The sequence below is a fragment of the Homo sapiens genome, chromosome 12, assembly GCF_000001405.40.
Source record: "Homo sapiens chromosome 12, GRCh38.p14 Primary Assembly".
Classification (NCBI taxonomy): domain Eukaryota; kingdom Metazoa; phylum Chordata; class Mammalia; order Primates; family Hominidae; genus Homo; species Homo sapiens.
The window spans coordinates 48,939,244-48,964,158 of NC_000012.12; the positions used below are offsets into that span (position 1 = coordinate 48,939,244).

Consider the following 24,915-nt stretch of genomic DNA (forward strand, 5'->3'; position numbering starts at 1 on the left):
AGGAGCTACTTTGGATTTAGTCACCTAGAACTCAAGATCCAAAGCACTAGAGGTCACTGTACTGAAGAATTGGAAACCAAATACGAGGATGGTGGGGAAGCAAGAGACGTGATTCAGACTGACCAAAGAATCAGGTCTGTCTGACAGCAGGAGTGAGGCCAATTCTCCTAAAGTAGATAACAGGCAAGATGAAAGAAAGATTTGAGACAATTCCTGAGGACTGAAATGTTGCTAAATAAAGCTTGGGGTGGGGCACAAGAAGAGGGGCATAAAGAAGCCAAGTGCTCAGTTTCCCACGCTTCTAACATTGAGAGCATACTAAAAGGGTTAACCATATAATAGGCCCAAGAGCCAACAATTTCCACAGCCAGTTTGCTGTCTCCCAAATTCAGGGGTGGGAAGAAGTCTCACCTGTTTGTTTGCAAAGACAAGGAGTACAGCATCCCGGAGCTCGTCCTCCGCCAGCATTCTCATCAGCTCTTCCCGGGCCTCATTTACTCGCTCCCGATCATTGCTGTCGACCACAAATATCAACCCTAGGAAGGCAGAGCATGGGCTGCACTAAGATGACAGGTAACCCCCTCCCCCCAACCAAAAGACCACACCTGCCTGACACCCTCCAAATATTTGCTCCCTTTCCTCCCTTTCTTCTGCCCCCAGGAGCTGCAGCAGGGTAACAGTTGGCCACCCATTAACAAAGACAGCCACACTCTCTGCTCATACCCAACCAACCCACGCTAGGCCTGAGCATACCTTGGGTGTTCTGGAAGTAGTGTCTCCAGAGGGGTCGAATCTTGTCCTGGCCACCCACATCCCACACTGTAAAGCTGATGTTCTTATACTCCACTGTCTCCACATTGAACCCTTTGGAAAAAAAACAGGCAATGGCCACTTGGCCTCAAACACTAGCCCCGCAAACACCACCACAATGAGTTTGGTTCTGCTTTCCCCCAGTGGTGGCCATAACACCAACAATGGAACAAAAGCTAAGGCTTCCTCAGACCTGATAATCGTTAAGCTAGCAGCCTGAAGGCCAAAATGAAAACCTAAGAGAAGTCAAAGAGGATGAGGAAGTTGGTTGAGAGGTTCACAGTTGCCTGGGTAACGTGGGCCAACTTTCCTGACTTTTCCACTCAGTCTTTGGTGCTCCCTCCTACAAAATGACTCAGCCCTGCTCTGGTACTTTGGCTACCAGAGTCGGCCTCAGCTAAGATGTGGGGCCTGAGAGGCAGAGTGAAGAAAGGGAAGTAAGCTGGCATCCTGGAGCCCCAAAGGCAGAGCCAGCTGACAATGCTGACTGGAGCCCCCATCTACATAGCAAATGTAGGGAGACCTCCCTTCAGCAAACTGTAACCAAGATTGGCCACCAAAGATCTAAACCCAAGTAATTCCAAGCCTTTGGCAGGAACATCAAAGCCTTTTACCTGCTTTCCAAACAACACAGAGAAGAAACCAACTCCGTGCCTGAGGGCAGCTGTTGAGTGCCAGGCCATGGAAGTTCCCGCATCAGGGAGAGCCAGGTTAGGTGGGCAAACAGCAGCCTCAGCACCTGGTAGTAAGCTAAACAACACCACCCTCTTTTCTGAACCCCACAAATTGTATGGACTTGCCTGGGGAGAAGAGGCCAGGTTGGGGAACCAGGAATAGGTCCCTGCCCTGCCTCAGCTGCCGGCGTGAAAGCCCACATCCAAGCTGTGCTCTTACCAATGGTAGGGATGGTGGTGACGATCTCCCCGAGTTTCAGCTTGTATAGGATGGTGGTCTTTCCTGCGGCATCCAGGCCCACCATCAGGATGCGCATCTCCTTCTTCCCAATCAGGCTCTTGAGAAGGTTTCCAAAGATATTGCCCATGATCACAGCAGCTGCTTTCTGGGGACAGTGGGGCCCAAGTAGGGGCAGTGGCAGTCTGGTTTTGGCCTGGTCCCTGGTATGGAAGACTTGATCCTAGACAAAGGAAATGTAAAATCATACCATCATTTGCTTGTCAGGACTTCCAAGTAAATAGAATTTCCCAAGGTCATGGCTAGAGTTCATTCATGACAAACGGAGAGCCTGAGGGGACTATAAATACCAAGGCCCACTCAGATACATACTGAGTCTTTGGGAACAGAGACAAAGCAGTAAACACTAAGGATCCCTGCTCTGCCAGTAATCTAACCATGTGACTCTGGGCAAGTTACTTCACTTTTCCATATCTGCACCTGTAAATGGAAGGGGGATTGAACTAGATGATTTCTGAAGTCCCTTCAGTTCTGACATTCTACCCTATACCCAAAGGCATTGTAAGATCATTAATGCCCCTCCCTCCCCTAACCTTACTTACCCTGAGACTTCTGGCAAGGGTGGGAGAGGAGGGAGCGGAATAAGGAGTGGCTCTCTGTGACTCCTGACAAGGTTCAGGCTTGCCAGTTTCCCAAGGTTTATGCTTTCTCCTTTAATCAAGAGACTCTGCCTCTTCCCTTCCTATATTTTTGCAACTCCATCTTTCTTCCACACCAAAATAAAGGAGGAATAAGAAAGCCGCACTCTTAAAAGAAGCCGATCCTTTACACTCTGTGGAATGCCAGCTGCTAATGTTGTGCCCTGTTCAAACAACAGTGCACTGGCAGTAGAGAGGTGGGGTATGGCGGGGCTACCCCTTTACTCCTCAGCTAGGTGCATCCTTGGCTTACTGTGGCCCATCCAAGGAGGGGGCTGTCCCACATGGTCGCTGCAATGAGGCAGTCATCTCATTGGTTCTCTGCTTCTTCCCTAAGCCTTTCGGCCTATTCTCCATATAGCATCTAGGGTGGTTTTAAAACCAAACTCAGGTCATATGAGTCCTTTGTTCAAAACCCACTCGTGGCTTCATAGCTCCTTTTCAGTAAAACCCAAGGCCCAAACCATGGCTTACAAGGTCCTACAAGACCTACACTCCCCTACTTCTCTCATGAGATCTACTACTCTCTCTTTGCTTACTCCACTCCAATTCCCCAACACTTTCCTTTCCTGCCTCAAAGCTTTTTTTTTTTTTTTTTAAAGAGGCGAGGTCTTACCGTGTTGCCCAGGCTGGTCCCAAACTCCTGGGTTCAAGCAATCCTCCTGCCTTAGCCTCCCAGGGCACTGGGATTACAAGCATGAGCCACCATGCCTGGCCCAAAGCTTTCATATTTGCTATCACCTCTGCCTGGAATGCTTCTCTTCCAGATAACCATCATAGATTACTCCTTCACCTCCTTCAGTTAGTTGTCTGTTTCAATGTCACCTACCAAAGAGGCCTCCCACAACCACATGTATAACACACACACACAGACACACACCACTCCCTACCCCATTTATCCCACTTTACTTTTCTTCACAACATTTATCACCATCTGATACATTATATATTTATTTCTTGCTGATTGTTTTATTCTGCCTAAGATATCAGCTCCTTATGTGTTTTGTTCACTGCTCTGTCTCCAGTACCAAGAATAGTGCCTAGCACACAGTACTTCAAAAACTGAACTAATCCCCAGGGTCTCTACTGACTTTACTGAAAGCTCACTCAGACTGGATGCTATGCCTGGCATATGGTAGGCACATAACAAATACCTGCTGAGGCCGAGCGCAGTGGCTCACGCCTGTAATCCCAGCACTTTGGGAGGCCCAGGCGGGTGGATCACCTGAGGTCAGGAGTTTGAGAACAGCCTAGCCAACATGGTAAAACCCCATCTCTACTAAAAATACAAAAACTAGCCGGGCATGGTGGCACACTCCTGTAGTCCCAGCTACTCGGAACGTTGAGGCAGGAGAATCACTTGAACCTGGAAGGTGGAGGTTGCAGTGAGCCGAGATCACGCCACTGCGCTCCAGCCTGGGTGACAGGGCGAGAATCCATCTCAAAATAATAATAATAATAGTAATAACAACAACAAATACCTGCTGAAAGGATGAACAGGACCAAAAGAATCATTATGAAGGTATAAAATGTCTATCTGCTCACCCCAGCCATTGCCCCAACAGACAGAATCAGATTCATTCATTCATTCCCTTTCTTCTTCCCTCTCTTCTCTATGGCACAGGATAGCCACAGAAATGCATCTTTGAAACAATAATAAAATGAGGATTCAGAATCACCCATACAAACCAGTTCTCTGTGCCTGCAGGAGGCATGTGTCAGCGGGCAGCTTATTCAGCAATCACCATATGCCAGCTGCTGGCATTCTCTAGAGTCTGGGAACCAGAGACACACACACACCCCAAACTCAGCAGCCAAAGGGACAGGTCAAGACAAAGTGCGCCCAAACCCAAGAATGTGAAAGGTGGACGGGGAGGAATCCTATTTACAAGCTAACGCATGGGGGTTTGGTGGGAGTTTGGTTGTTTTTACAAAAACTTCTGACATTTCCCCCACCACCCTTCTCAGTTTGCAGCAAATTCCAGACTAGTGCAACTGAGCCAGATCAACAGTCCCTGAAGACCAAAGTACTAGTTTGTCCGAAAAAACAGAAACAATGAGTGCTTATGAAGTGTTTCATCTTCAAAAGGCCTCCCCAGACAGCCACTAATGAGCCAGGCGTGGCACTCTCAGTAGGTTCCCCAGATGAGCCCTACCCCTGACCTAGAGGGTTCACACACCAGGAAGAAGGGCTAGCTCAACCTTAGGGTTCAACTTCAGTCAAGCCACCCGCTAGCCTTCCTCCCTACTCTTCCTGCCTCAACCCACCCAGGTGGACAGACTCCTGAGGACCCCTGAGCGACCTACCCAGCTAAGAACAGCTCTCACCAACCTTGGCAATTTGTAGTAGTGACTTTTGGTCATACTACTAACACCTCATGAAATTTAAACCTTTCCCAAGTCTTCCTAGTCTTCTAGCCTTTATTCTGCCTCTTGCTCAGGCAGCCTTTCCTTCAGCTCCAGATGACACTTTGCTTTAAAGGTTTGGTATCAGGCTTTGGCCCAGATTCTGAATTAAATTTATGCCACACATTTATCTTGCTGTCCTTTATGACTGAAACTATTGCTGATTAAATGCTTACCAACTGTGAGTATAGTGGTGGCTGAAAAAGATATAACTAGCCAATATGCCTTGCCCCAGAACACAGGTACACTGTCCTTTGATTTGCTTCTTTGCTCGGCTGTCATGCTGAAGTCCTGGTTCAAAAGCTGATCCCAGTGTTACACCTATTATTTCCTGGCATGCCACATCAAGGCCTTACTTTGAATGACCTTAACCACTCAATGTGGCACTTACTACCTTGTCGAGTTTTTCTTCTTTTATAAGTCTGTGTATTTACTGCTTCCCACGTTAAGCTGTGTATTCCCTATGTGCAAAGACTATGTCTACTTATTTTGAATCTGTCCTCCCTCTAGTGCCAAGTAGATTGTGGGAGTTCAATTAAGCACATTGGCTGATTTAAGCCTCATCTGAGGATGTCCTTATATTATTTCTTCTGTCCAGTAGGATTTGGTATCTCTGTGTAATGCACAGCGAGTTGCTTAGCTATCCTGTCCATTCTCAGCCATTTTCCACACATATTTGACGCAGGACTGGTTTGGGAACAACATAAAAGGACTAGAAGACTAGAATTGGTGGGATTCTCTCTTGCCATTTAATATACAGTGGGACTGATGAATAACTGATAAAATATCTAAATAGCTGGCCAGGCATGGTGGCTCATGCCTGTAATCCCAGCACTTTGGGAGGCTGAGGTGGGCGTATCACCTGAGGCTGGGAGTTTGACACCAGCCTGGCCAACATGGTGAAGCCCCATCTCTATTAAAAATATAAAAATTAGCTGGGCATGGTGGTGCGCGCCTGTACTCAGGAAGCCGAGGCAGGAGAACCGCTGGAATCCAGGAGGCAGAGGTTACAGTGAGCTGAGATCATGCCGCTGGCACTCCAGCCTGGTTGACAGAGGAAGACTCTGTCTTAAAAAAAAAAAAAAAAAAAAAAGGCCGGGCACAGTGGCTCACGCCTGTAATCCCAGCACTTTGGGAGGCTGAGGTGGGTGGATCACCTGAGGTCAGGAGTTCGAGACCAGCCTGGCCAACATGGTGAAACCCCGTCTCTATTAAAAACCCAAAAATTGGCCGGGTGCGGTGGCTCACACCTGTAATCCCAGCACTCTGGGAGGCCAAGGCGGGCGGAACACGAGGTCAGGAGATCGAGACCATCCTGGCTAATACAGTGAAACCCTGTCTCTGCTAAAAATACAAAAAAATTAGCCGGGTGTGGTGGCTACTCGGGAGGCTGAGGCAGGAGAATTGCTGGAACCTGGGAGGTGGAGGTTGCAGCGAGTCGATATCATGCCATCACACTCCAGCCCGGGCAGACAACAGCAAGACTCTGTCTCAAAAAAAAAAATTAGCTGGGCGTGGTGGTACATGCTTGTAGCACCAGCTACTCCAGAGGCTCAGGCAGGAGAATCGCTTGAACCCAGGAAGCAGAGGTTGCAGTGAGCCGAGATCACGCCACTGCACTCCAGCCTGTGTAACACTGAGACTCCATCTCAAAAAATAAATATCCAGTAGCTATCATGTATCTCCCTGGCACAGCCCAGGACCTTGAAACTAATGGATGTTATGACTCCTCCTCTTTATTTATTTATTTTTTTTGAGACAGTCTCGCTCTGTCACCCAGGCTGGAGTGCAGAGGCAGAGGTTGCTCACTGCAACTTCTGCCTCCCAAGTTCAAGTGATTCTTGTGCCTCAGCCTCCCGAGTAGCTGGGATTACAGGCATGTGCCACCATGCCTTGCTAATTTTTATATTTTTAGTAGAGACGGGGTTTTGCCATGCTGGCCAGGCTGGTCTCAAACTCCTGGCCTCAAGCAATCCACCTGCCTTGGCCTCCTGAAGTGCTGGGATTACAGGCACGACCCACCACGTCTGGCCATGACTTTTCTTTAAGTATAATCTGGAGCTTGACTTAAATGAGCATTTCAAAGGGGATGCTGGCTTTCTTGTCTTGGTTTTCCCTGTCCCTTGCTAATACCAGAGAGCATGCTGCCCTACCACCAAGATGGTAGCAGCTTTCTGCTTTGTGCCATGAATACAAATCTCTGGCTATACAGCCTATTCTCACTTTCACAATACATTCCTAAAAAAGCACTAGGAAGCAGAATGGCAAAGCAAACAAACCATGAATTGTTTCTCCATGTATTATATAGCCTATAGTTACTCTCTTTCACCACAGATGGTACTCCTGTGTTTATAGGGCAAAATGCCAGGGTTCCATTGGCTGTTGGATACCAAGAATAAGCAGTTAAGACTGAAAGTGAGTGGCTCAAGATGAAAAATGGAATATACTAACATCTCTGTTAAAAAGATATCTGCAGGTTCTGTTTTACAGTCAGAAACTTTATTATCACAGGTAAAAATAACAATAGGAACCCAAATATGTGCTCTAGTACAATCTGTGTGGGACACTGTAGGAATTCAGTTAAGCACATCAGTTGATTTAAGCCTCATCTAAGGATATCCTCACTTGAGGACAACTCACTGCTCCCACCTCATCCCCCCAGGAGAAGCAGGCTGTTGCTGTAACTGGCTACTCAGCCATCTTTCCTTACATATGTTGCAGGAACGTGCCTGCCTCAATCTCCAGGTGCTTTTGAGAGTCACACATCCCAGTCGGCCACACATACTCCCTCTACCTGATTCCAGTGAATGATCCAAGAATGTGCTATGAGACACCTCTGAGGGGACTCCTGATCTGGCACTACCTCCTCCTCTTCAGCGTCCAGGGGAAGGAAGACCAGGGTCTCCCAAACCCTCTGCTGCCAGGCAGAGTGCAGTAAAAACAGCTTTGTTCTTAGATAATTTTCAAATTGAAATATCACTAAGAGATGCTATTTTTAGCACAGCTAACCAAACAGACCAATACAATTTAAAGAAACAAAAGCAGAGTACGCCCGTACTGAGTTTTCTTGGTGCAGCTGGCTCGTGACCTGTGTAAACTCCAAGTTTTTGTCTCAAGAGCACTGAAATCAGAACATAAGAACTCCTAGATGATATCTGAACTATTTCGACTAGACTTAAAGATTTCCCAAAGTTAAGAAATAGCTTCTGATACCAGCTTTCATCCATTCATCAAACTTTTTTTTTTTTTTTTTTTTTGAGACAATCTCGCTCTCTCGCCCAGGCTGGGGTGCAGTGGCGCAATCTCGGCTCACTGCAACCTCCGCCTCCCAAGTTCAAGCGATTCTCCTGCCTCAGCCTCCCGAGTAGATGGGACTACAGGCGCATGCCACCACACCTGGCTAATTTTTTGCATTTTTAGTAGAGACAGGATTTCACCATGTTAACCAGGATGGTCTTGATCTCCTGACCTTGTGATCTGCCCACCTCTGCCCCCCAAAGTGCTGGGATTACAGGCGTGGGCCACCGTGCCTGGCCTCATTCATCAAACATTTATTGGGCATACTGAACTAGGGATACAGAGAGGGAGACAGTTTCTGCCTTCATGAAACTCAGTCTTTAATGGAAAAGACTAGTGAAGACAGGACTACAAAACAGTGTGAGAGTAAGAGTAAAGCACATAGTATTATGTGAACAGAAAGCTGGAGCAGTAAATCAACACTGAAGGGTAAAGGGTGATTCTGAAACCTAATTCTCAGGTCATACCTGAGCTGGCTCCTAAAGGAAGACGAGGAAGTAATCAGACAATAAAGAGGGAGTTGGGCAGGGGAAGTGTGTGCAAAGGCATAAAGACTGAGCCAGGCACAGCAGGACACACCTGTAATCCCAGCACTTTGGGAGGCTGATGCAAGAAGATTGCCTGAGGCCAGGAGTTCAAGGCCAGCCTGGGCAACATGGCAAAAGCCCATCGCTACAAAAAAAAAAAAAAAAGCTGGGTGTGGTGGTGCACGCCTGTAGTCCCAACTACTCAGGAGGCTGAGACAAGAGAATCACCTGAGCCCAGGAAGTTGTGGCTGCAGTGAGCCATGATCACGCCACTGCACTCCAGCCCAGGTGACAGAGTGAGAGAATATGTCTCAAAAAAAAGAAAAAGAAAAAAAGACCTAAGTTTCAGATAGCACTTTAAAAAAATTTATATAATCTTTTTTTTTTTTTTAAAGAGATGAGGTCTCACTCTGTCACCCAGGCTCACTGCAGCATCCAAATCCTGGGCTCAAACAATCCTACTGCCTCAGCTTCCCCAGTAGCTAAAAAGACCTACGGGCCCAAATCATCGTGACGCAGCTAACTTTTTTATTTTTATTTTTGGTAGAGATAGAGTCTCACTTTGTTGACCAGGTTGGTCTCGAACTTCTGACTTCAAACGATCCTCCAGTCTCAGCCTCCTAAAGTGAAGAGTACAGGCAAGGTGTGGTAGCTCACGCCTGTAATCCCAGCACTTTGGGAGGCCGAGGTGGGCGGATCACAAGGTCAGAAGATCAAGATCAGCCTGGCCAACATGGTAAAACCCCGTCTCTACTAAAAATAGAAAAATTAGCCGGGTGTGATGGTGTGGGCCTGCAATCCCAGCTACTCAGGGTGCTGAGGCAGGAGAATTGCTTGAACCCAGGAAGCAGGGGTTGCAGTGAGCCAAGATCACATCACTGCACTCCAGCTTAGGTGACAGAGTGAGACTCGGTCTCAAAAAAAAAAGAAAGAAAGAAAATGATGAGGGATGGGGCTGGAGAGATAAGCAGGGACTGGATCATGAAGGGCTTTAAAGGCCATGCTGAGTAACGTGATCAGGTATGTGCTTTAGAAGTTTCAGGAGTAAATTAGAAAGGGGAAAGACTGGAGGCACAGACACTGCTTAGGAGGTATAGTAATACAGGTGAGAAATCGCAAGTTGTCAACTACAAGTGGAGATAGAGAGAAGAGGACAGATTTGAAACATCAAAATGGTAGAATCCACAGGATTTAATGAGTGCTTAAATGTACGCAGAAGAGTAGAATAATCAAAGATGATTCCCAGGTTTCTGGCCTAGGGCTGGGTGGCATTTCTTCAGAAAGAAAATACAAGAGGAACAGATCTGAAGGTGAATATGTATGTTTGTTTGTTTGTTGTTGTTGTTGTCTGAGACAGAGTCTCGCTCTGTCGCCCGGGTTGCAGTGCAGTGGCGCGATCTCGGCTCACTGCAAGCTCTGCCTCCCGGGTTCACACCATTCTCCTGCCTCAGCCTCCCGAGTAGCTGGGACTACAGGCGCCCGCCACTACACCCAGCTAATTTTTTGTATTTTTAGTAGAGACGGGGTTTCACCATGTTGGCCAGAATGGTCTCGATCTCTTGACCTCATGATCCACCCACCTCGGCCTCCCAAAGTGCTGGGATTACAGGCATGAGCCACTGCACCTGGCCTGAACATGTTTGTTTTTATTATTACTGTTGTTTTTAGAAACAGAGTCTCACTCTACCACTCAGACTAGAGTGCAGTGGCATGATCATGGCTCACTGCAGCCTCCATCTCCTGGGCTCAAGAGATCCTCCCACCTCAACCTCCCAAGTAGCTAGAACTACAGGTGTGCATCACCATGCCTGGCTAATTTTTAAAGTTTTTTTGTAGAGACAAGGTCTTGCTATGTTACCCAGGCTGGTCTCGAACTCCTGACCTCAAGCAGTCCTCCCACCTCAGCCTCCCAAAGTACTGAGATGACAGGCATGAGCCATTGTGCCTGGCCCCTCAATCTTAGAAAAGGACCTATGGCAATGTTCTCTTGTCCAGCCTTTGGATGTTGATGATGTAGAAGGATGAGAAGCTAGAATAATCTGGAGACCATAAAGAGAGGGAGACAGACATTAAAAACTCCAGGATGTCAGAGCAGAAAAATGGGAAAAACTCAGTTGGGTCCTTAATTACAGTATCAAGCTGGTAAACTAAACTTTTTCTTTTTTAGAGATGGGGTCCCACTATGTTGCCCACGATGAAATACAATGGCTATTCACAGGTGCCCTCATGGTGCGCTACAGCCTCAAATTCTTGGGCTCACGCAATCCTGAGTAACTGGGACTATAGGCATGCACCACCACGCCTGGCATCTTTCGTTTTCTGAGATGGGTCTTGCTCTGTCACCCAAGCTGGAGTGCAGTGGCGTGATAGTGGCTCACTGCAGCCTCCACCTCCCAGGCTCGAGCAATCCTCCCACTTCAGCCTCTGGAGTAGCTGGGACTACAGGCATGCACCACCACGCCTGGCTAATTTTTGTTTAACTGAAGTTTCGCCATGTTGCCCAGGCTAGTCTCAAACTCCTGGGCTCAAGTGATCCGCCCACCTCGGCTTCCCAAAGTTCTGGGATTACAGGCATGAGCCACTGTACCCGACTGGCTTCTTTTTTTTTAAATCATAGTAAAATATACACAAAATTTACCATTCTAACCATTTTTTTAAGTATACAATTCAGTAGCGTTAAGTACATTCACACTGTAGTGTAACTATCACAACTATTCATCACCTCAACTTTTTAATCTTCCCAAACTGAAACTGTACCTGTTAAACAGAGGATCCCCAATCCCCCTGTCCCTCCAGCCCCTGGCAACCACCATTCTCCTGTCTCTATGAATCTGTTACTCTAGGTACTTCATAGAAGTAAAATTGTACAATATGTGTTCTTCTGTGTCTGCCTTTTTGTTTTTTTTTTGAGACGGAGTTTTTGCTCTTGTTGCCCAGGCTAGAGTGCAATGGCGCAATCTCGGCTCACTGCAACCTCCATCTCCTGGGTTCAACCGATTCTCCTGCCTCAGCCTCTCAAGTAGCTGGGCGATTACAGGCACCTGCCACCACGCCCGGCTAATTTTTTGTATTTAGTAGAGACAGGGTCTCACCATGTTGGTCAGGCTGGTCTCGAACTCCTGACCTCAAGTGATCCACCTGCCTCAGCCTCTCAAAGTGCTGGGATTACAGGCGTGAGCCACTGCACCCGGCCTATGTCTGCCTTTCTACTAGATGTCTTGCTATATGATTTAATAAATCCTCTCAGCGTTTTAGACACGTGTGTTTTCTATTTTTGCAACTAATACATCCTAACTGATATATCTAGGGATAGTGTACACAGTGGGATAGAAGAAAAGGGCAAAGGCAGAAACCTGCCTGACATTTCAACATTTAAAGTAGTGGGAGCCAGGCGCGGTGGCTCATAGCTATAATCCCAGCACTTTGGGAGGCCAAGGTGGGCGGATCACCTGAGGTCAGGGGTTTGAGACCAGCCTGGCCAACATGGTGAGACCCCATCTCTACTAAAAATACAAAATTAGCTGGGCATGGTGGGGCATTCCTGTAATCCCGGCTACTCAGGAGGCAAGACTGGAGGACTGCTTGAAGCCAGGTGGTGGACGAAGGTTGCAGCGAGCTGAGATTGCACCATTGCACTCCAGCCTCGGTGACAAGAACGCAACTCCATCACAAAAATAAATAAATAAATAAATAAATAATAAATAGGCCGGGCGCGGTGGCTCATGCCTATAATCCCAGCACATTGGAAGGCCAAGGCGGGCGGGTCACCTGAGATCGGGAGTTCGAGACCAGCCTAACCAACATGGAGAAACCCTGTCTCTACTAAAAGTACTAAATTAGCCAGGCGTGGTGGCGCACGCCTGTAATCCCAGCTACTCCATAAGCTGAGGCAGGAGAATGGTTTGAACCTGCGAGGTGGAGGCTGCTGTGAGCCAAGATCGTGCCATTGCACTCCAGGCTGGGCAACAAGAGCGAAACTCCGTCTCAAAAAAAAAAACTAATTAAAATAAATAAATAAATAAATAAAATAGCGGGCAGAAAAGCAGGCCAGGAAAGAATAAGAAGCAACCAGAGAGGCAGAAGGGAAATCAAGAGAGCAAGACATCATAGACACCAATGGGGATAGAACATACAAAAGAAAAGAGGGAGGATCCAAAGCTAGAGTTTTGGTGTAAACTAAAACGTACCTAACTAAATAAGTTCCTATTAGCTCAATTAGTGGTGTTTAGGCTCAGGCCAGAATTGTTATGCCAGCTTCCCATCTAGGCAAAGAACAATCCTGGAAAAGACTCCAGGACACGCAAACCTGAAGGACGCCACAGCTGTGAAGTGAAGAAGGATCCCGAACCGCCCTGTCTGATGGAGACCCAAAACGCCTGGGAAGGGTCTGGCTTTTACCACAGACAACCCTTAGCAAGTGAGTCAGAAAAGATGACAAGGTCTGTTTTAGAATCCTAGTCAGATAAAACAGTGACAAGATAAAAACTAGACTCATTTGTTTCTTTGGAACATTCTGTGGTACTGCCCTCTGCCCAAAAATTACAGCTTGCCTTGTTCTTAGAATCTGACCAGCTTACAACCACTACAGCTCCTGATATTCTATGGCTGTACCAATCCAATGCCCACCTCTACAGTCTTGGATATCCAGAACACTATAAATTCCTAATCACAAAATCACTGAAAGTCCATCAATAGCCTAGACTCCTAATAATCTTCTGCCCCTAATCTGGTCCCATTGTGCAAGTCAAGATGGAGCTGACAGTAAACTGCTTAAACAGGAAGACATGATGTGGACAAGGCCAACCATTATACAGAGCAGCCTAAGGACACAGAGGAACAGAGAACTGCCTACTTAGGGAATAAGAGTTACCTGCGATCCCTCGGCATCCCAAACACACTTCTACTCTAGGACTTGCTGCAGTATTCACGTTTGTCTGTTTTGCTTTCCAGAGCTGCAACTGCCCAATGTGCCTCTAGTGCATTACAGGTCAGCTGGAGATACTGATCCTATCAGCCACTGGATGGCTGGGCAGGGCTTGGGGTGGCTACAGCCCTTGGGCCAGCCATCTCAGATTTCAAGTCTCACTATTACCATTTTTTGTGTATACCATGATGAGAAAAAGGCTGGAAAGTACCTCACTAGACTGTGAGCTCTTTGCCAGCACAGACTATGCCTTATTCATATTTCACGTCTCCAGCATCCAGCACCAATGACTGACCTATAGCTAGTGACTGACAGGCGTGTTGAGAACGGTTCTACTGAGGGTGGCAAAACACTTGTGGGGTTGAAGAAGACTGTATTCTATAGGTGGTCTCTGATCCTTTTCCCTGTATCTGACAAACTGAAGAAATGGTTTCCATGTCCTCAGAGCCCACAGGTTCTGCTTGAAGAGAGGAGAGATCATGTGAGGGGCTGTAATTATACCCCACCCCCATTTTCCACCACCAGTAGAGAGTAACTCCACTTTTGTCCATTTTATGTATTAGAATTCAAATAAAATTTTATTTAAGGTTTGACTATTTTTTTTTTAAAAAAAGGACATAAACCATTGCAACAGAGAGCAAATGCTCTCCTACATCTTAAGCTCATGCTGAAGTTTAAGCATTCACGCTTGACACTCCTGTGCATAAGCTAATAAAGGAAGGATTATGCCAGGCTTTCAGCAGTAATGGGAGAACTAAAAGGTACCAAGAGACCTGCCACACCCAGTCATCTCAACTTTCTTCAGGAATATGGTAATAATGGTGGATCTCTAACATTCTGAGCCATTTCCTTTCTGGTCCACATGGTGTGGCAGATCCTTTGCATAAGTCCATGGTAAAGCTCTAACACATTCATGAAATCCCTACTTTAGTCAGTTCTTTACCAGACTATAATATGAAACCTTCAAACATCTGTGGGACCCTTTCCAAACGCTCCTCATGTCTTTTCATTATCAAATAGTTTTATTAGCACTCTATCTATATTTGCAACAGATGTTCAAGTGAAGAAGGTACGGTAGACAGATAATTCTACAGATATCACAATTTCTAGGCCATGATATTCTGAAACAGATACTCAAAAGCAGACATTTTTTATTAAGATTGGACTAAATGAAAAGAGTGGACTAAATGAAGATCCCCATATACTGACTGAGACCTAAAATAAGGGCATCTAGGAATCTAAATCCCTGACCTAGGTCATCAGGGTGCTCTTTTCTGGAAGAGTGAACCATTATCTCAGAGTCACACTGACTTTTCTAATATGAATACTATTCTTGTGCCCCCATATCTTCACCCTACATCCAAATTGATGGTTCAGGGCCCCTGCCTTGCTCCAGCTTCACCTCCCACTCAGGCAGCAGGAGCTGTCTCTGCGATGCTGATGCTGAAGCTGAAAAAAGATTTCGCTGCTCATAAGCCTACGACCAGCACAGAAACTCATGGTAACAATCATCCCTCTACACAAGCACCTCAGGCAGCAAGTTGTTCTTCTGTAAACCTCTTTTCCTCTAAGGCAGCCCTGAGTGTTCATATTATTAGGATTATGATAATGGATTATTAATAGCAGCTAACAGTTATTTGGTACTTACTATATGCTTTGTACAATACCAGGTGCTTTACATTTATCTCATTTAATTCTACTGACAACCAAAAAAATAATAATTCTCTTGAAAACCATATGTCATTACCTTCTTTACAGATGAAGAAAATAAAGAGAGAAGACAAGCAATTTTACAAGAAACATGCAACTGGTAATTAGCAGAAGCAGGATTTGAATCTAATTTTGTCTGATTCCAAGATCCACTCTTAATTACTATACCATTCTGCCTCTAAATTTACCTCAACAAAAATGGTGAGGAGAGTTCAGGCATGGTGGTTCATGCCTGTAATCTCAGCACTTTGGGAGGCCAAGGTGGGAGGATATATTGGAGCCAGGAGTTTGAGACCAGCCCTAGCAACACAGTGAGATCTCTACAAAAAGTAAAAAAAAAAATTCGCTGGGCATGGTGGCACACGCATGTGGTCCCAGCTACTTGAGAAGCTGAAGTACAGGATGGCTTGAGGCCAGCTCGAGGCTGCAGTGAGTTATGATCACACCACTGCCCTCCAGCCTGGGTGGATAAAAATAAAGGTATATAGGGAAGCAGATTCTACAATTTCCTTCAGTTACATACTCAACTTTAACCAACCTGGTTTTAAAGAAGTTCCTCCTTCTAACCAATAAATCCCACCCTCTATCCTGAGTCCACTTCCTCTTATTATGACTCTAGTGTAAAAGAGTAGGGTGAACACACACTACAATATGACTCTTTGTGCACTTAGTATTTCACTCACTTCCACTCTTTCCAGTCTGCTCTCCTTTATACTTGCATTCAGTATAATAATAGCAGCTACCATTCACTGGTACCAATTCTGTACCTGACACCACACATATACATATATTGGTCCCTCCTCCAAACTCTCCAGGATCCCAATTCATATATAACACTTTGAAAGACTTAGGTCTGATGGAGAGACCCCTTTGCCCACAATGGGGAAGCAGGAAATCTGGGACTGCAGATAATGACTCTGTGTTCTAGTAATATTTTTCTTTTTGGGTCTTAAGTTTCCATTATCTATGCCTATTCTGTGCCTCTTAGGAAGGCAGAGACACAAAAACTTCTTAATTACAAAGGCTAAGGGTCTTTGTACCCTTGCTAAGCTATTTCCAGGCACTTCTGCTGACAGCCAAGCCATCTCTTGCCCTTTCCTTAAACTACAGTTAGAAAGCTTGTTGAGTTCTATCTATTTACATTCTAAATTCATCATGGGTACCTACTGTTTGCATGGGCATTGTGGAAGAGGAGACGAAATCCAGTTCCTGCAGTCGAAAAGCGTCTAGTCTCTTTGGAAAAGCAAGATAGACAACTATAAAAATTCTAACTATGCAAGGTAATAATTCTATGCTGGGAAACAGGACGCATGTGAATATGTGATACATGGGAGCCTTTCCTGGCTGAATCCAAGGTCAATCATTCATTCGGTGAAAAGCTGAACCTTAATGGATTAGTTTCTTTCTTAGAATGAACTTTTACAGACATGTTTTTCAAACTCAAGTCCAATGGGCTATGATAATCCACTGTCCCATAACACTGTCCCATGTCCCAAGTCACGGCAAGTGGAAACACCTACCCCAACAACAAGCCCAAGACAAAATAGCAGCAAAGACTGTTACTACCTACCTGATTGAGGACAGGGAAGGAGGTATGCAGCGACTAGATTCTGTCCTGTTGCACTGACCCAAGCAATCAGACTCTTGCAGCAGATCTCCTCCCAATAAAACTTTCATGCCATAGACCAGGGGTGACCCAATCCAACAACAGCAGAGACAGGTTTTAGGTTACATTTCTCCCTCACCGGGACGGCCTTACTATTTCTTCTCACTCCTGACCACATACCACAATCCTCCACCTCCACCACCACATTCCTCCTGGCCTGGAAAGATGGAGACCCGCCTTAATGCAATCAAGACGGGAATTCCCCCAAAATAACAGCTACCACTTTGCTAATCAAGTGGCCCGTTTTAACAGGGAACTCCACCTCCCCAACTCCCGCCCCTTCCCTCAAACGATTCGCGTAAGCAATGGCTCCATTTTCTGTTCCGGGAATCCTGGTACTTCCTAAAGAAAGAAAGCGGATTGGAAGACACAAACTGAGGGCCAGTGACAAGATGCTCCCTCCTCCTGTGAGACCGCCCCCGCTCCGCCTGGGGAGGAAGGCCCCACCTCTCTTCTCCCAGGAAGATCAGATCCCCCTCCTCCTTCTCCTGCCTCCTCTCCACCCTCTCCCCACTTGCTGCCCTCTTCCCAACCTGCGGTTCCCTAGACTCGAAAGCGCAACCTCTACCACAATAGCGCCCATGTGGTGCCCCAGCAGCCTGCCCTGTTGGCTAACCCCCAACCCCCCTACGCACCCCTGCCCTATGATGGGGGAGGGGGTGTAACCACAGCAAGGCTTCTCTCCCGTCTCCTATTGCTAAGGTGGGGGAGGGAGAGGGAGTAGAAGAAAGCAGCATTCCCTAGCCCTTTAACAGAAAAGATACAAACAGCCATCACCGCCCCCTCATCACCTCTCCTCGGACGGTTTTCCTCTCCCTCAACAGCACACCTCCTGCAGGCGACAACCTAACTGCAGCCCAGGTCGCCCCCTTGAGCGAGGCGGAGGACAAATCCGTGTGCGCCCCCCACCCCCACCCCAGCTCTGCGTCCTTCAAATGCGGGGGCAGGCGTGAAGCTGGCCCGACGCACCCTCTCTGAGCTCTCGGGTGGGAAGAATCCCACCGCCCCACGCCAAGCAGTGCCGGGCGGGGCCCGGGAGGCGCTCTATCTCCTCAGCCCTCACCCTGACCGAGCCTCTTCTCTACCGGGACCCGCCTTCCCTTCCCAGCCTCTCACCTGTTCCTGCTATCAGCTGCGCCGCTGCGGCCGCCGCCTCTGCCCCGCAGGTTCCGCTCCGCTCCCTCTGGCTCCCCAAGCCGACTTCAGCCCGGCTGCTGCCCTGGCCCACTCCCCGGCTCCCTCCTTCCTTCCCTCCACCTAGCACCGGAAGCCGCGACGGCGACTGGAGCTGTGCGGCGTACCCCCACCCCCAGCCCGGGATACTTCCCACCTCCCCGATCGCGCGATAGCTGCGCGGTAGCTAGCGGCAGTTCTCGCGAGACCCATCACCATGGCAGCGGCTGCAGCACCGGCGGCCGGGCGCTGGAGCTGGAGTCAGGGCGGGGGCAGGTGTGGGGGCTGTGGGCGGCGGAGGCGGGAGCCGTGAATGGGGATGAGACAGTGAGGACTGAGGTGACAATCCCAAGCTCCAGGGTTGTGCCTGGAATTTAAGGACTGAGGCGGCAAGTTGGCTGCGTAGGAGACGGGCTGGGCTGCGGGGCCCAGGGGCTCCTTGGGCAAAGCCAGCATCGGGATATGGGTGAACAGTCGTTGCTGTGGCATGCCTTACCCAGCCAGACTTCATCTTTATTTCTTAATCTGGGCTAGCTGCCATCCCCTGAAAGCCCTCACCGCACCATTGTTGTTGCTCACTATTCCTGAGACTAGATTACTGTGGGGTCTGAATCAAGAGATCCTTTCCCATAAGGAAGAGGAAGGAGAGTGATGAACTTAAGAGGCTAAAGGAAAACAGCTGGACTCTGAGCCAGTTAAGTTGGAACTTGAAAGACGGAGAGTGGAAACCTAATATTCAGAAGTGTGGTTTGAGGAAGTGTGCCTAGATGAGTAGGGATTTTAGTATCCCAAGGAAAGGTGAAGGACTTTGCACCCATATTTCTTGCTTCCTACCCACTCCTACTTCCCTCACACTCCGTTTTGCACCTGGTCTAGACATGCAGAACTGCCTTGAAACAAAAATAGCTGTGATAGAAGGGCACTAGTAATGCTAAGAACAGAAGGTTCCTTTTTTTTTTTTTTTTTTTGAGACAAGAGTCTCACTCTGTCGCCCAGGCTGGAGTGCAATGGCACCATCTTGGCTCACTGCAACCTCTGCCTCCCGGGTTCAAGCGATTCTCCTGCCTCAGCCTCCTGAGTAGCTGGGATTACAGGCGTGAGCCACCGCGCCCGGCCAATAGAAGGTTCTCTAAGTGCCCTCTCTCCTCATTTACAGCAGTATAAGGGAATGAACACATGGCTCTTCCCTAAGGCTTGAGCCCAAATTGTTGCTCTTATGAATTTATTGCCTTGGTTGATTTTGTTTGTTTGTTTCCTTGCTTCCAAGAAGAACTAAGCTGGGGCCAGGCCCTGTGTTCACACTTGTAATCCCAGCACTTTGGCAGGCTGAAGTGGGCAGATCACTTAAGGTCAGGAGTTTGAGACCATCCTGGCCAATATGGTGAAACCCTGTCTCTACCAGAAAATACAAAAATTAGCCGGGCATGGTGGCACATACCTGTAATCCCAGCTACTTGAACTGAGGCCAGAGAATCGCTTGAACCTGGGAGGCGGAAGTTGCAGTGAGCCAAGATCGTACCACTGCACTCCAGCCTGGGCGACAGAGTAAGACTTTGTCTCAAAGAAAAAAAAAAAAAAAGCTGGTAGGTGCCATATATGTCGATCTCCTTGTCCTCATCAATCCCTGGTGTATGCACTTACAGTCCCTTAACCCAGTCTGTTCTCTCTCTTATGTTAACCTGATAACATGACCCTAGAATGTCAAGCTAAGGGGACCTTAATTTAAGATGGTAAGGGATGAGATGGATGACAAGGAACCTGTTTATAACAAGGAATTATATCTGTCCTGGGCACTGCTATTAAGGGCTGCTGCCCTGCTAATCTCTGTGGGTTGTTTTTGTTTTTGTGTGTGTGTTTGTTTGTTTGTTTGTTTGTTTGTTTTTGAGATGGAGTCTCGCTCTGTCACCCAGGCTGGAGTGCAGTGGTGCAATCTCAGCTCACTGCAACCTCCGCCTCCCAGGTTCAAGCGATTCTCCTGCCTCAGCCTCGCGAGTAGCTGGGACTACAGGTGTGTGCCACCATGCCCGGCCAATTTTTTGTTTTTTTAGTAGAGACAGGGTTTCACTGTGTTAGCCAGGATGATCTCAATCTCCTGACCTCGTGATCTGCCTGCCTCAGCCTCCCAAAGTGCTGGGATTACAGGCGTGAGCCACATCTCTGTGTTTTTTTAAGATACGGGGTCTCACTATGTTGCCCAGGCTGGAGTGCAGTGGCTATTCACAGGAGCGATCATAGCACACTTCAGTCTTGAATTCCTGGGTTCAAGTGATCCTCCTGTCTCAGCCTCATGAATAGCTGGGATTATAGACATGTGCCACTGTGCTGGGTAGTTCTGTCGGGTGTGTTTTTGTTGGTGGTTTTGTTTGTTTGTTTCTTGCTTTTTTTTTTTTTTCTGTTTTTGAAACTGGATCTTGGCCGGGAGCGGTGGCTCAAGCCTGTAATCCTAGCACTTTGGGAGGCCGAGGCAGGCGGATCACGAGTCACGAGGTCAGGAGATCGAGAACATCCTGGCTAACACGGTGAAACCCCGTCTCTACTAAAAATACAAAAAATTAGGCAGGCGTGGTGGCAGGCGCCTATAGTCCCAACTACTCCTGAGGCTGAGTCAGGAGAATGGCGTGAACCCGGGAGTTGGAGCTTGCAGTGAGCCGAGATCGCGCCACTGCACTCCAGCCGGGGCGATAGAGCAAGACTCCGTCTCAAAAAAAAAAAAAAGAAGAAAGAAAAAAAAAGAAACTGGGTCTTGCTGTGTTGCTGAGGCTGGAGTGTAGTGGCGCAATCGGCTCACTGCAGCCTCAACCTCCTGGGCTCAAGTGATCCTTACCACCTCAGCCTCCCAAGTAGCTGGGACTACAGGTGCACGCCACCATGCCTGGCTAATTTTTTTTTTTTTTTTTGAGACAGTTTCGCTCTTGTTGCCCAGGCTGGAGTGCAATGGCACAATCTCCGCTCACTGCAACCTCTGCCTCCTGTGTTCGGGTGACTCTCCTGTCTTAGCCTCCCAAGTAGCTGGGATTATAGGCATGTGCCACCACGCCCGGCTAATTTTTATATTTTTAGTAGAGACAGGGTTTCACTGTGTTGGTCAGGCTGGTCTTGAACTCCTGACCTCAGGTGATCCACCTGCCTCAGCCTCCCAAAGTGCTGGGATTACAGGCGTGAGCCACCATGCCCAGTCACCCAGCTAATTTTTATGCTATTTGTAGAGACAGGGTTTTGCCATGTTGCCCAGGCCAAACTCTTGAGCTCAAGCAGTCCTCCCATCTAGGCGTCCCAAAGTGTTGGGATTACAGGCATGAGCCACCGTGCCTAGCCCAGCTCTGTGTTTTTAAGGACAAAAGACACCTCCAGTATTTTGTTGTTGTTGTTCATGTCAAATGGATAGTGTGCCAATGTAACAAGGTTTGAGGGTGGCACATCTCACATGTGTGTAAGCACCCAGTCATTATGCTTATGAACTACAAAAGGATCTTCCTCCAGTATTATTACTCCTAGAGTGGGTTTTTTGATATTTCCATGTGATTACTCTTTCATTTATTTCTCTAGAAATTTCTAGTAACACTCCACCAGGTTATCCCACCATGCTGTCCACCAAAACTATGATTTATAAAACCTCCCTAGTGCCCTTACCACGTGCACATGCCTGTGGAACTCAGACAAGGAGGTGGAACCTGTTGATATTCCTGCCCAGTGCTTCAGATCTTCTCAAGGTTTTATCCCCAGTGCAATAGAAAGATGGAAATGGTGACAGTCTAATGTAGTAAGCAGCAGGTACCATGGTATGTCAGTCAGGACTGATTAATGGGACTAGAGAATCTCCCAGCGCTTCTGTCCTTCACCTGTCTGGAGTCTGAAGAAGAAAACGTCTGTTGCAGCATCAGAGTGCGCTGCCCATGGAGCAAACAGGAGCAGAGATAGGAGGAGTGCTGCCCAGCTGGCAATTAGCTGGCCACTGCCCCTCCCTAACTTCCCAGCCACTTGGTAAAGGCCAGCAGGAGTAGAACTCATCTGGAGCTGAAGAGGGACAAGAGGCCCGTCTTACAGTTCATCAGCCTTTCTCCCTCCCTCTGGCTGCCATTGGAGCCTAGTAAAAGCTGAAATTGTAGCCACCAGCTCTGTGGGTTGCATACTCCAACCCTGTCGCTGACCCCAGTGCATGTGCTAGGAGCAGGGATAGGGAGTGGCGAAGGGGTGTGTTGGCCTTGCTGACAAAATCCATTTGGAATTTGTCAAGGTTGTGGTTTGGGGCTTAAGTTTGCCACACAGTGTGTCTGATGAAGGAAGAGGGAACGCTAGAAAGGAAAGAGGGACCCAAAGTACAGAGGAAGGAAACAGGAAAAAGCTGAAATAATCATGCTGTGACTCTGTTAGAGATTCTCCTTCCTCGTCCTGAGTGTGAGAAGTTCTGATTATAAATATTCTTTATCATTATTCTCTTATATCCTATGCCCATTCTAAGTGCATCCCCTCTTCCTTCCACATACACTAGGTTCAGTAAGTGCCTGAAGTAAGGATGGGATTTCTCCTGTCTCCATCAAATTTCCAAACCCAGAATTCTCAATGCTCAAGTGGAAATCCAGGACATAAAATTTGGCCACAAAGTTCTGCCCTAGAGCCCAGTGTGGTGACTCAAACCTGTAAATCCCAACACTCTGAGAGGCTGGGGCTGGAAGTTCACTTGAGTCAAGGAGTTCAGGGCTGCAGTGATCTTGCCACTGCACTCCAGCCTGAGTGACAGAGCAAGACACTGACTCTAAATTAAAAAAAAAAAAAAAAAGTACTGGCTGAACACAGTGGCTCACACCTGTAATCCCAATACTTTGGGAGACCAAGGCAAGAGAATTGCTTGGGTCCAAGAGCTTGAGACCAGCCTGGGCAGCATAGCAAGACTCTGTCTCTTAAAAATAAGACAAAAAACAAACAAACAAAACTGTCCTATGGCCAGGCACAGTGGCTCATGCCTGTAACCGTAGCACTTTAGGAGGCAGAGGAGGGCAGATAGCTTGAGTCCAGGAGTTCAAGACCAGCCTGGACGACATAGCGAAACCCCATCTCTACTAAAAATACAAAAATTATCCGGGCCTGGTGGTGCACACCTGTATTCCCAGCTACTCAAGAGGTTGAGGCAGGACGATCGGTTGAGCCCAGGAGGTGGAGGTTGCAGTAAGCCGAGATCACGCTACTGCACTCCAGCCTGGGTGACAGAAACCCTAAGACCCTGTCTCAAAAAACAAAAAAAAGTACTGCCCTAACCTAATACTCCTCAAAATGTCCTCACTACCTTGGTACTACTCTCATTTCATCTGATTTTGAGGGTAGCAGAAGTGTCTATTGTCTAGAGAAGTGGAGAGAACTATTTCTACATTCTCTGGCCAAAGAAATAATCTGTTAGAGTCAGCATCTGGCAGCTGCATAAGTGTGCAGTCATTTGTGAAGTTCTAAATGTGTGATGCATATTCCTTGTCTGCATTGAATCTTAGAAAGATAACAGCTTAGGCCAGGCTTGGTGGCTGATGCCTGTAATCCCAGCACTTTGGGAGGCCAAGGCGGATGGATTACCTGAGGTCAGGAGTTCAAGACCAGCCTGGCCAACATGGCGAAACCCTATCTCTATAAAAAATACAAAAATTAGCTGGGTGTGGTGGCCAGCACCTGTAATCCCAGCTACTTGGGAGGCTGAGGCAGGAGAATCGCTTGAACCTGGGAGGCAGAAGTTGCATTGAGCCAAGATTGAGCCATTGCACTCAGCCTGGAAGACAGAGCAAGACATTGTATGAAAAAAAAAAAAAAAAGAAAGAAAAGAAAGAAGAAGGAAAGGAAAGGAAGAAAGAAAGAAAGAGAAAGAAAGAAAGGAAATAAAGAAAGAAAAAGAAAGGAAGAAAGGAAGAAAACAGTTTACGTATGTATGTATGTATGTATTTATTGAGACGGAGTCTCACTCTGTCACCCAGGCTGGAGTGCAGTGGCACGACCTTGGCTCACTACAAGCTCCGCCTGCCGGGTTCACGCCATTCTCCTGCCTCAGCCTCCCAAGTAGCTGGGACCGCAGGCGCCCGCCACCACGCCTGGCTAATTTTTTTTTGTATTTTTAGTAGAGACGGGGTTTCACCATGTTAACCAGGATGGTCTTGATCTCCTGACCTCGTGATCTGCCCATCTCGGCCTCCCAAAGTGCTGGGATTACAAGCGTGAGCCACTGCACCCAGCCCAGTAAGAGTTTATTTTCAAAGATGTTGGGCTAGGGCCAGGCACAGTGGCTCATGCCTGTAATCCTAGAACTTTGGGAGACTGATGCGGGTGGATCACCTGAGGTCAGGAGTTTGAGACCAGCCTGGCCAACATGGTGAAACCCCATCTCTACTAAAAATACAAAAATTAGCCAGGCGTGGTGGCACGCACCTGTAGTCCCAGCTACTTGGGAGGCTGAGGCAGGACAATCGCTTGAATCAGAGAGGTGGAGGTTGCAGTGAGCCAAGATCACGCCATTGCACTCCAGCCTGGGCAACAAGAGTGAAACTCCATCTCAAAAATAAATAAATAAAAATAAATCCTGTTCTGTTGAGTTGATGTTATCTCTTAAAAGATAAAGGAATTATTTTACTAAGATGACATACAAAAGAGCTCTAAATGAGGAAGGTCATGGGAGGCTTAGACAGGCATATCGCTTAAGGTCAGGAGTTCTAGACCAGCCTGGGCAACATGGTGAAACCCTATCTCTACAAAAAAATACACACACAAAAAAAAATTAGCCAGGTGTGGTGGCATGTGTCTGTAGTCCCAGCTACTCTTGGA

At 47.5% G+C, this 24,915-nt stretch overlaps 1 protein-coding gene and 1 non-coding gene across 13 annotated transcripts in view, besides 6 other annotated features; both read right to left on the reverse strand.

Moving 5' to 3' along the window:
* ARF3 (ARF GTPase 3) overlaps positions 1–18,244 on the reverse strand; it is a 21,765-nt gene extending 3,521 nt beyond the window's left edge. The window contains exons 1-6 of one of the 12 annotated variants that reach the window (NM_001412928.1): positions 18,067–18,244; positions 16,855–17,107; positions 16,452–16,517; positions 1,705–1,945; positions 754–864; positions 412–536 (exon numbers count right to left, since the gene is read on the reverse strand). In NM_001412928.1, the coding sequence (NP_001399857.1) occupies positions 412–536; positions 754–864; positions 1,705–1,852 (384 nt within the window). In that variant the 5' untranslated portion in view covers positions 1,853–1,945; positions 16,452–16,517; positions 16,855–17,107; positions 18,067–18,244. Of the gene's footprint in view, positions 1–411; positions 537–753; positions 865–1,704; positions 1,946–16,451; positions 16,518–16,854 lie in introns of all 12 variants that reach the window. The other 11 variants (NM_001412926.1, NM_001412918.1, NM_001412930.1 and 8 more) reach the window with 11 other exon arrangements.
* Positions 5,516–6,016: an enhancer, noted in NCBI's record as "H3K4me1 hESC enhancer chr12:49338542-49339042 (GRCh37/hg19 assembly coordinates)". NCBI's record gives its function as "activates a minimal SCP1, AML or CMV promoter by ChIP-STARR-seq in naive H9 embryonic stem cells {active_cell/tissue: H9 hESC(naive)}" and the evidence as "EXISTENCE:reporter gene assay evidence [ECO:0000049][PMID:30033119]".
* Positions 7,965–8,178: a silencer, noted in NCBI's record as "fragment chr12:49340991-49341204 (GRCh37/hg19 assembly coordinates)". NCBI's record gives its function as "represses an EF-1alpha promoter that drives an FKBP-Casp9 reporter gene in an ReSE screen in K562 erythroleukemia cells {active_cell/tissue: K562}" and the evidence as "EXISTENCE:reporter gene assay evidence [ECO:0000049][PMID:32094911]".
* Positions 8,197–8,789: an enhancer, noted in NCBI's record as "H3K27ac-H3K4me1 hESC enhancer chr12:49341223-49341815 (GRCh37/hg19 assembly coordinates)". NCBI's record gives its function as "activates a minimal SCP1, AML or CMV promoter by ChIP-STARR-seq in primed H9 embryonic stem cells {active_cell/tissue: H9 hESC(primed)}" and the evidence as "EXISTENCE:reporter gene assay evidence [ECO:0000049][PMID:30033119]".
* Positions 16,441–17,436: an enhancer, noted in NCBI's record as "NANOG-H3K27ac-H3K4me1 hESC enhancer chr12:49349467-49350462 (GRCh37/hg19 assembly coordinates)". NCBI's record gives its function as "activates a minimal SCP1, AML or CMV promoter by ChIP-STARR-seq in naive H9 embryonic stem cells {active_cell/tissue: H9 hESC(naive)}" and the evidence as "EXISTENCE:reporter gene assay evidence [ECO:0000049][PMID:30033119]".
* Positions 17,492–17,571: an enhancer, noted in NCBI's record as "active region_6297". NCBI's record gives its function as "activates an Ori minimal core promoter by ATAC-STARR-seq in GM12878 lymphoblastoid cells {active_cell/tissue: GM12878}" and the evidence as "EXISTENCE:reporter gene assay evidence [ECO:0000049][PMID:35858748]".
* Positions 20,680–20,889: a silencer, noted in NCBI's record as "fragment chr12:49353706-49353915 (GRCh37/hg19 assembly coordinates)". NCBI's record gives its function as "represses an EF-1alpha promoter that drives an FKBP-Casp9 reporter gene in an ReSE screen in K562 erythroleukemia cells {active_cell/tissue: K562}" and the evidence as "EXISTENCE:reporter gene assay evidence [ECO:0000049][PMID:32094911]".
* LOC124903110 (small nucleolar RNA U13) lies at positions 21,495–21,593 on the reverse strand. The gene has a single exon (XR_007063646.1). It is a non-coding gene; the product is annotated as a small nucleolar RNA U13 (small nucleolar RNA).